The 10,170-nt window shown below is 48.2% G+C and overlaps 3 annotated features.

Annotated features, from left to right (window-relative positions):
• Positions 1,679-1,973: an enhancer, noted in NCBI's record as "tiled region #2385; HepG2 Activating DNase matched - State 5:Enh". NCBI's record gives its function as "activates a minimal TATA promoter and a strong SV40 promoter by Sharpr-MPRA in HepG2 cells {active_cell/tissue: HepG2}" and the evidence as "EXISTENCE:reporter gene assay evidence [ECO:0000049][PMID:27701403]".
• Positions 1,679-2,273: a biological region, named in NCBI's record as "Sharpr-MPRA regulatory region 2385".
• Positions 1,772-2,273: an enhancer, noted in NCBI's record as "NANOG-H3K4me1 hESC enhancer chr7:46255349-46255850 (GRCh37/hg19 assembly coordinates)". NCBI's record gives its function as "activates a minimal SCP1, AML or CMV promoter by ChIP-STARR-seq in naive H9 embryonic stem cells {active_cell/tissue: H9 hESC(naive)}" and the evidence as "EXISTENCE:reporter gene assay evidence [ECO:0000049][PMID:30033119]".

The following is a 10,170-nucleotide window of genomic DNA, read 5'->3' as shown; positions in this document are numbered from 1 at the left end:
CATGTCTAGTACTTTATTTCCAAAGTTATTCTTTTTTGCAATATTCAGTTGAAGGATCATCTCTTGCCTCAGTGTCAACAGTGAATTCGAAGGCTTGTGGCTAGGAGCACCTCAGTCGGGTGGCTGAGAATGTGTCTTAAGCAAGCAGCCCTGCTGGCCAGCTGGCCACAGCCCTGTTTCCCCACTCAGTGTGTGGCCCAGCAGGTGACTGACCCTCTGGGCACCTCAGCTATCACATACATAAAACAGGGATGAGAATGGCAGCTACCCACCGCATCCTGTGGTTTATGAGGATTTAGTGAATTAACACCTTGCCAACATTAGGAAAGGATGAATGGTTGCTGCATTGATGATAAAGATTGTTACCAACCTAACAGGCCACTGGATCAGAAGTAGACCATGAATTCTAATTCTTTTCCACGAATCAGGATTTACGCATAAAAACCTGACTACCAAAGGGAGAAAGTGGCAAGCAGAGGCAGGAGGACAAATGTGAGATTGCTGATTCCCAGACTGGGAAAATGGATTAGATTCTCCACCAACTTCTTCCATTGCATTACTTAAATTATTTAGTTCATTAAAAAGAACACGGCTGGGTGCGGTGGCTCATGCTTGTAATCCCAGCACTTTGGGAGGCCGAGGCAGGCGGATCACGGGGTCAAGAGATTGAGACCATCCTGGCCAACATGGTGAAACCCCGTCTCTATTAAAAATACAAAAATTAGCTGGGTGTGGTGGCACGCGCCTGTAGTCCCAGCTGCTCAGGAGGCTGAGTAAGGAGAATCACTTGAACCTGGGAGGCAGAGGTTGCAGTGAACCCAAGATGGCACCACTGCACTCCAACCTGGTGACAGAGTGAGACTCCATCTCAAAAATAAACAAACAAACAAACAAATAAATAAAAAGAACACTGTGCTCATGATGTATGAAGCTCCCTCCAAGGAAGAGACAGGTTCAGGAGTCACAGCTTGGCCCATTCCCACTGTTTGTGGGGACTGTGGGGGCCCACAGTGAGCACTGAGAACAGAGAAGGCTGAGCTTGGATTTGCCCCATGGTGTCCAGTGTTGATGCTGTGCTAGTACAGGGTCTCAAGGGAAGCAAACCAAGACACAGTCCTCTCCCCACTGGGGAGAATAGGACAATAAAGAAAAATTGCACATACCTGTTAGGTCACAGATGTGATGTGAGCCTACAAGAAAAGAACATAGTTCACCTGGAGCATTAACAGCGTCTAATCTTGTTGGAAACATCTAGTGAAAAGGCCAGAGTCTGGGGTAAAAAAGGGAGCAGGAGTTATTGTTGGCCCTAAAAGCTGAAGATGAATCAGGGTGCCTCATTAGAACACAACAGAGTGGAATAAATGTCGCATCCGTGAAGAGGCACAGAGGTGGGAGGTGAGGACAGGGCTGTGCCCATCCACTCCTAACCCTGTTGATGTGTGTTCGCATGGTGGAGAAGATTTCAGAGTCCCAGGCACCTCAGCTGAGCCTGGGTATAACAGGCAAACCCAGCCATTCAGTGACTGAGGAACTGTCTAGAAGAGATGTTTCTGAATAATAGTATGACGATGCTTTCCACACATTTTTTTTTCCCACAATGGAAAATGAACTTGTATTCCCACCTGCAGCATCACATTGCAGAGTCCACTCGGAAGTCTGGAGTGGGTGGGCGGGAGCAGTGCGTGCTGCGAACCTGGAAGCCAGAGCCCTGCATTATCCCGCGGGAGCTCTCCGGAGACTGTGCCTGTGAATGGGCTTTTGTTCCCGCTGCAGGCCCAGGTCCCAGCCATTCATGCCCTCAGCAAATGAGGAAAGGTGCGGAAGACCTGCCCTCGTGGATATGTCCTCACCACCTGCTGGCACAAAGGGCTCTTTCTAAAATCCTCTTACGTAAGAGGCTGTGTTGGCTCGGAGCGCTCCCAGACATTCACAGGAAGGTCAGATAACAAGAGCCACTCAGTCAATGGGGCTCTGATTGGGGAACAATGCCACTGGAATTGTGTTTGTTAGAGAACACTTTGAATGCGGCCTGGAGTCTCTTGTTCTGCTCCTGACAACATCCTTTCTCTGCTGCTGGGTGAAGCAGGTTGCCTTGTTCTGAGTGAGACCCAGTGGGTCTTTGTCCTGCAGCCTCATTTAGGAGCCCCAGATGCCCTCTTTTGTGAGCCCCCGAAGGCTGTTCTTACACACGTGGAGGCACATGGAGGGAGAATGAAGGCCTAGGAGGCTCCTTGTACAGCCTTGTGTGCTGGGCTCCTCCACCATGACTTGATGCCTAAGAACTTCTCCTCTGGGGCTCTCTTGATCTCTCCCTGTCTCTGTCTATCTGTCTCTTTATCTCTCTGCCTCTCTTTTCCTGTTTGTTTCTCTATCTCTACATCTCTCTCTCTCTCTATCTCTTTGACTATCTATCTCTCTGTCTTTTTATCTCTGTCTCTATCTCTTATCTCTCTGTGTCTCTCTGTCCGTCTCTCTGTCTCTATCTCTATCTCTTATCTCTCTCTGTCCTTATCTGTCTCCATGTCTTTATCTCTTATCTCTCTCTGTCTCTATCTGTCTCTCTTCTTTTTCATTCCCCTTTTCCCCAGGAAAGAATCTCTAGAAAATTTCTTGGAATCTCTCTCCAAGCAAAGGCCAAGAAACCCTTCCCTGGGCCCTGGAAGAAAATGTACTCTGGCTGTGCAAGTCCCAGCTCTAGTAGTGCCCTGGGCTGGTGTCCTGCAGGAAAGGGTTAGCTCAGATGGTAAAGAGCAAAGAAGAATGTGCTTGATAGAAGAGTGGAACTGAATCCTCCTCACACCACTTACTGGGTGAGCCCCAGTTTCTTTATTTATGGGATGGAAATCAAATCACCACAGGATATTCATGAGAGTTACCTTACATCTTAAGGTGAAATGCTATGTGTAATGAAGTTTCAACATTATTAGCAACCAGGACCAAGAAGTCCTCAAAACAAAATTAATCATGCTTAGAAATTCAGCACTGAAGGAAGAGTACAGTATCCTGGAACTATTGGTCCACATAATTAAAAAAAAAAAAAAAAGATGTAGGCTTTTCCCTGTAAAATGAAAAAACAACTTCTGAGAATATTGGTTGAGCACAATCTTTGGGTCAGCCTATATCAGAGACCCAACTCTCAGGCCAAGGGGCAGCTCAGGTGCAGAGAGCCAGCAGTACACAGGGCAGCACATGTGCTAGGCACCTGGAAGGAAAGGGGTCACAGGCTAGAGACTCAGAGAGATCATGCAGAGAATGAGATGGAGTCTATGGAGGAGGAAATGCAGTCTCAGCTTTGGACACAAGAAACTGTGCCTGAACAGGGAAGGACAAGGCTGCAGAAGAGAAGAGGATGCCCAGGAAAAGCATGTTACAGGCCTAGTGGAACGACAACCAAAGGAAGGACAGAGGGAGGGACTAGGTCTCACAGGGTCCACAGCAGCCCATTGTCTGGAGGGATGCACCACATCCATCTGGGATCCTGTGCTGGGGACAGGATCTGCCCAGAGGTCTCATTTCTGCTCTGGCCCCAGTACATCTGGATATAGCTTTTCACCCACCAGTGGTTGGAAGTTGCCTGGTGTCAATGGTAATACACAGGCAGAAACAATTCTGATCACCAAATCCCATTATCCTGTTTTATTTTAATGTTCTCGCTATGTATATGATGGCAGGAAAATAATCAGAAAAAAAAATCAGCTGATGGGCTTTCTGAATCCAGCTCACCGTTTGATTTTCTTCTAATGTAAGCAATGGCATTAAACAGTGTCTGCTCATCTCCGACCTGGTCATTAAAGACCATAGCTGGAGCCATGTGACCTACCCGTTCTAAGCCATATTAACTAATGATTTCTATTTGCTAGGGGTAGACAGTCTCCTTGATGGTAGCTCAGCTATCCTTTGGGGCTGATTTTTGGTTTGCTTAGCTAGTTTTCCTTCCACAAAAGAGATACAGCCCCTAATGTCTTGGAAGCTGGACACTCAAGGCTGCCTAGGGCCATAGATGTATTAACCATTGACGTCTGGGGCTTTGCTGACCCCAAGGGACTGCCACTCTCAGGGTTAGCCAATTCCTAGAGATAGTAAATAACTCACCCAGAAATGTACTTTTTTTTTTTTTTTTTTGAGATGGAGTCTCACTGTCACCCAGACTAAAGTGCCGTGGCGCCATCTCAGCTCACTGCAACCTCTGCCTCTCGGGTTCAAGCCATTTTCCTGCCTCAGCCTCCCAAGTAGTTGGGATTACAGGTGCACACCACTACACCTGGCTAATTTTTGTATTTTTTGTAGAGACAGGATTTCACCATGTTGTCCAGGCTTCTCTCGACCTTCTGACCTCAGGTGATCGGCCAGTCTCGGCCTCCCAAAGTGCTGGCATTACAGGCGTGACCCACTGCATTAGATCTGTACTTTTCAAATACCAATCAACCAATCCAGAGCCCATAGCTCCAACTACGTCCTTACGGCTCTCACACTCTGACCACTGTCCTCCTGCCCTAATAACCCCAGGGCCTGTTGTCAGACCATGAGGGACAACCCCTCTGCCCCAGCACTCTGAAATAATTCAAACCACCCAATCCTAGGCCTTCCCACCCTGCCCTACCTGTTCCTTTCCATGAAAACCACAATAAAAGCTCTTGTCCACACTTTCCCCTGCTCCTTCTGCTTCCTGAGTGACTCTAGTACTTCTCATGTGGCCCTGCATGGCGTGGTATGTCCCCTTCTCTTAGGAACTGTGAGTAACAAACTGTCTTCCACTGGAAACCATCTCCTGAGCTGCTGGCCTCAGTGTCCCTGAATTGTAATAAACTCCACATTGTAAAACTATGGACGAGGCTGCAGAAAGCCTCTAAGTTTCCCCTCTCCAACTCTGTCTTCAGACCAGCTACTGGGTGTTGAGTGGCACAAACAGCCACTGAGGTCTGCCCAGCCCACTGCCTCAGGCCTGTGTCCCAACTGCCTTCACCCTTCTCACCTCCCCACTGGGAGAAGACCCCTCCTGGCCTTCCCAACTTCCCCAGCATTCCCCTCAATGCATCCTCAGCCCTGCAGAGGGGCTTTGACACCACAGCTTCTCTTTCTTGAGTTCAATATCTGGTTCCTGCATCATTTGCCTTTTGAAAGTGCTCACTGATGGCAAAAGGAAAGAACAACAGCAAGAATTATCATAGGAAATCTTGAAAACGACTGACCTCTACCCAGCCTCACGTCTAGACTGGGGAGACCCCTGAGCTGCTGATAAGAGTCTCTACTGTGCCGCATCCTATGCTTGCTTCAGATGGGGAAAGAGACATTCTGGAATTGATGGTGGGCATGGAGCCACGGACATGGCCGAAGACCCTCTGTGTGGGCTTCCTGTCACTGAATCCCACCTCAAATACCAGCTGGCCATTTAGGTGGCTTCCCTTTAAAGCAGGCTGAAGGGCAGGCATGGTAGCTCACGCCTGTTATCCCAGCACTCTGGGAAGCCGAGGCAGAAGGATTGCTTGAGAAAGGAGGATAGTTTGAGTTCAGGAGTTCGAGACCAGCCTGGGTAACAGAGTGAGGCCCTGTCTCTGTGAAAAATAAAAGTTTTAAAATGTAAGAAATTTTTTAAATTAAAAAAAAAAAAAACAAGTAAGCTGAGTTCTAGCTTCCTACAGAATGATGCCCAGACCCTTCACATGTTGGGATTTCTGTATGAATTTAATGTAGTCACTTTTTAAGGAGAGTGATACATTTCCTGATGTACTTTAAATTGTTTTTATAAAGGCTTAATATCCTCTTCTCTTCCTGTCTCACACTGTTTTTTTTGTTTGTTTGTTTTGTTTTTCCAACAGACCCTACTTTCCCTTCTTCTTTAAAAAGGGCCTCTAATTTGGTTTCTATATGGGAACACAGGGTATGATCAAAGTGGTGTGTATGGGGGCTTCCTAGACAGGGAAAGGGTATGGTCCTCTATGTGGAAAGGTTGTGATCAAGGTGGTATATATGGGATTCCTGCACAGGCAAAGGGTATAATCAAGGCGGTACATATGAGGGTTCCTGTATAAGGAAAGGATTTGATCAAGGCCATCTGACCCACCTTGGCCAGGGCTTGGCATAGGGTGAACATGTGACTTGATCTGGTTAATAAGATGGAAAGATAAATGTTGGGGTTTCTGCCAAATCACTTGCTCCCTGATAAAAGGAGTGAGCACTGTGATGGCAACGTCTCCTTTTTGTCCCACTGCCTTCCTTCTCACGGTGCTGCCATGAAGACAGGTGCTTGAGCTGGGATCTTGAAAATACAAGGAGTCTTGCAGGGGTGCTTCCAGGCCATGGGACCACCGAGCTCAGGTCCTCCTTGGAAGTGGGAGAAGCAGCTTAGGTTTCAGCCACTGTTCATTGGGTTATATATTTTCAGCCACAAGCATCTTAGATAGCACAGCCTTGTGTGATTTCTGTAATAGTCTTTCACAGCGTGGAGCCTGTAGTCATTCAATTTGCCCAGAACTCCTTGGACTGACTTCTTAGCCCTCCCTCCACCCCAGGCCGCAGGGCTGTGGCAGCTCACAGTGCTAGTTTATTGTCCTTCTGTCCCACAGCACAGAGCTCATTGATTGTGATGAGCACCTCAGCATGTTTTGATGAATTTTTATATTTGCGTGTCTTCATCCAACCATGAGCTTCTCCAGGACAGAAGGAGGACGTAAACTCAAGCCACCCTTCTGAGTGTGGGGCATGACACAGGGCCCTGCTTATAAATGTCTGATGGATTTAAACTTCTCTTCCTGGAAATAAAGCTCAGTTCTCCAAAGAAATTGCATGCTTCATACAGTGACATTTGATTTTGATGTTGGAGGTTCAGCAGTGTGTACCAGCGGAAGCAGCTTGTGCTGATTAGAGGACATCACAGTGTGAGGTCATGGGATGCTCACCCCAAGGGGCCACTGGCATCAGCTCCCTGAGCCCCCACTTCCCCGTGTCTCCTTCCACTCTGCCTACATCAAACAGAAACAGATTTTCCTTCATCCCCCAAAATCTATGTTAACCTCCTGTGCTAGTTACTAGGATTGACTTTCCTCTCCTTAGACCAGGGAACCAAAGATAGAAATGCAAACCTATATGACCTGGGAAATAACAAAATCCTCTCAACTCAGTCCAATGCTCCCTGAAACTGATACTGCCTTCCCAATTCATTTATTTTTATTTCCATAGCATTTCCTGGCAATAGGCAGGAATTTATAGTAAAGTTCTGGGAAACCAGGAAGGTGGATTCCACTGGTTCCTGGCACATCTGGGACCGACTTGCAGGCAGACACATCCATGGGAGGCCCAGGGCTCTCTTGCCGGCTAGGGAACGTGGTTGTCTTGCAGGACATTCCACTGCTGTGACTTGTGAAATGACCTTCAGGCAGATTCTCTGACAATAATATGCTAAATAAGTGTACTCTGAAGAAATGAGATGCATCATATACAGACACTGAGGATGAAGGAGTGCAGGGAATGCCACTCTCAAATCTGCTGCTTTGGTATATTGATTATTAAGCCAAAGGCACTTGGAAAGCAGCAACTGCATGGAGAGGCTTTCTCTGAACTCCTTTAATCAGCCAAAGATAGAGCCCCCAAAGGAACTCAGTTTCATCAATCCCATCCCAGGGAGTTTCATTATACAGGGAAGAAGGCTGTTATCACAGGGGAGGAGGCTAGAAACTGACACCACACCCAGACAGACCTCGTCATCTATTCTCCTAAGGGGCAATTCATCTTTCCCCCAAAGTCATGACTCTCCGGCAAGTTGCCTGAAACCCCTTCCCTTCCGCACTATGAGGAGGGTATATAGGCTTCTACAGCTCACTGGGTTTTCGGGGAATTCACTTTACTTTCTTGTGATGCCCCAGTGCACATAATGAATCTGTGTACTTTCCTCCTGTTAATCTGTCTGTGGTCCATTTCTTTTTCAGAGACACAGTTACGGAACCCTCAGATGGAGAAAATGTCTTCCCTCTGCTGCAGGGGTGAAGAGAAGAAGAAGACCCCTCATGCACCCAATGCACCAGCATCACAAGGAATCCAGTGCCCTCTTGTCGCCCGAGTCCCACTGACTCATCGCATGAGACCGGAGCTGCCAGAGGGAGGTGGCACTGGAGGTGAGGCCTGAAGGAAAAGAAGTTCACCAAAGAGAAGGGCTGTGGCAGTGGGAGAGAAAGGGGCAGCTTTTGCAAGGCCTGGTCCATGTGAAAGAGGTGCCCAGAATAAGGTGAGGGGACAGTGGAGGGAGAGCACTGTGGGGGGTCCTGAGGCCTGGCCTGGTCCCTCTTTTGGGCTGAATTGTGTCCCCTCAATTGATATGTTGAAGTTCCAACCCCCAGGACTTAGTATCTAACTATATGTGGAGATGGGTTTTTTAAGAGGTGAAATGAAGGTTAAAAGGTAAAATGAGGTCATTAGGGTGGGCCCTAATCCAATCTGACTGGTGTCCTAATAAAAAGAGGAGATTGGGGCACAGACACACACAGAGGAATGACCATGTGAGGACACAGAGAGGACAGTCGTCTAGAACCCCAGGAGAAAGCCCTTAGGAGGAACCAACCCTGCTGATGCTTTAATCCCAGACTTCCAGCCTCCAGGGCTGTGAGAATAAACGCCTATGTGTCAGCCGCCCACTGTGTGGCACTTTGTGGTGGCAGCCCAAGCTGATTAATACAGGCCCTGTTCAGCCACCTCTGCACTGTGTGAGTTTAGCAAGCCCCCATTCTGTTGTCTCTCCGGGTGGGCGGCGGGGCTCCCCATGTCCATCCCCAGCAGTGGTGCTCTCAGAAAGTACATTTCTACATTTCCTTGGGACTCGGTGGGTTTTGTGAAGCTGGGCCTGAGATCTGTGGATCTGCATGGCCCTGTGATCCAGGGCTTTTCACAGAGAGGTGGGAGCAGAGCAGAATTAAGGTCACGATCAAGCAAGGGCCAAGAAAGCTGCAAAGAGGAGATATGATGATTACAGAAACATGTGCAGGTGGTTATGGCAGCCGGCTCCTTACTGGAGCAAACAGGCATCCTGTGAGAATGTCAGTGGTTTCCTGCTTCCCAGCCATCCTGGAAGAGAACTCTGAGCCTGGGGGATGGGCCAGTATTCCCCACACGGGCCTGGTCATGTATCTGGGATCCCCGCTGCCCCCTTCAAGTGCTGCTTCCCACTCACTGGCTGGATCTAGTCCTTCCCAGGCAGGGGCTGGGGCAGAGTGTGAAACCCAAGGCACAGGGACACGGGTTTGCATCCAGGCAGCCTCATCAGCCAAGGAGCAGCATGGTAGTTTTGTGACATGGGAAGTAGAGGCTGCTATGCCTCCTAATTGGGTCTTATGGGAAGGGGTCAGGCAAACTTCTTGAAGGAAACATCATTTCTACTAAATCCAGACAAGGTGAGGAGGATTTGATTAGACACAAGAGGGAAGGGACAAACTTGCAAGTAGAGTCTGTGTGTTCAAAGGCAGGTGAGGCTGAGGGGCACCGAGAGAGGTGAGGGAGGCTCCCAGCACGCATAGTGTGAGGACAAATAGGCTTTCCTTCCAGAAGGTGCAGTGCAGCCATCCCAACTGGTCTCTCACCACCCTGGGGCACCTCCCTCTTCCCTGCCTCTGCAGCTGGGCAGGCTCACTGTGGAGTGATAGTGACTTGGCTTACAGACCTGTGCAGCCTGCTTCTCCCTTACCAGAAGGACATGTGAGTCAGGGGAGGCTGCCCCTGCCCAGCTTTGGGAAATTTAGCAAAGTCTGGTGATAACATAGACTCTCCACACAGCATTCAATGCAAATAGAAAATTAATCTCTGATGCAATTGGGCATTCATACATGCCAGTAAGTTCTGTGCTTTATTTTAAGGTACCTCACCTGCCTGGCATTAGTTGGGAGAATTATTAACCATCATTAAATGATTAACCATCATCATTAAAATGGTAGCCTGCTGCTACCCAGCCAAGAGCATGCTCTGTGGAGTTACTCACGTGAGAAAAAACTTGTCAGCAAAAGAATGCACCTGCAACCCAGAGCATCTACCCTTAACGACTTTCTATTTCAGCCTCCTTGTTACAACCACGATTTTCTTTCACTATCTAGGACAATACATATGCCACAGGAGTCTCTCAACTTCAGGTTAATCACTGCCCATCTCTCTAAGGTCAGACCTTCAGAATCCATCCTTTCATAAAGTTCATTT

This window comes from Homo sapiens, chromosome 7 (genome assembly GCF_000001405.40).
Source record: "Homo sapiens chromosome 7, GRCh38.p14 Primary Assembly".
NCBI lineage: Eukaryota > Metazoa > Chordata > Mammalia > Primates > Hominidae > Homo > Homo sapiens.
The sequence above is the reverse complement of the archived record's forward strand: the minus strand, read 5'-3'. Positions and strand labels throughout refer to the sequence as shown.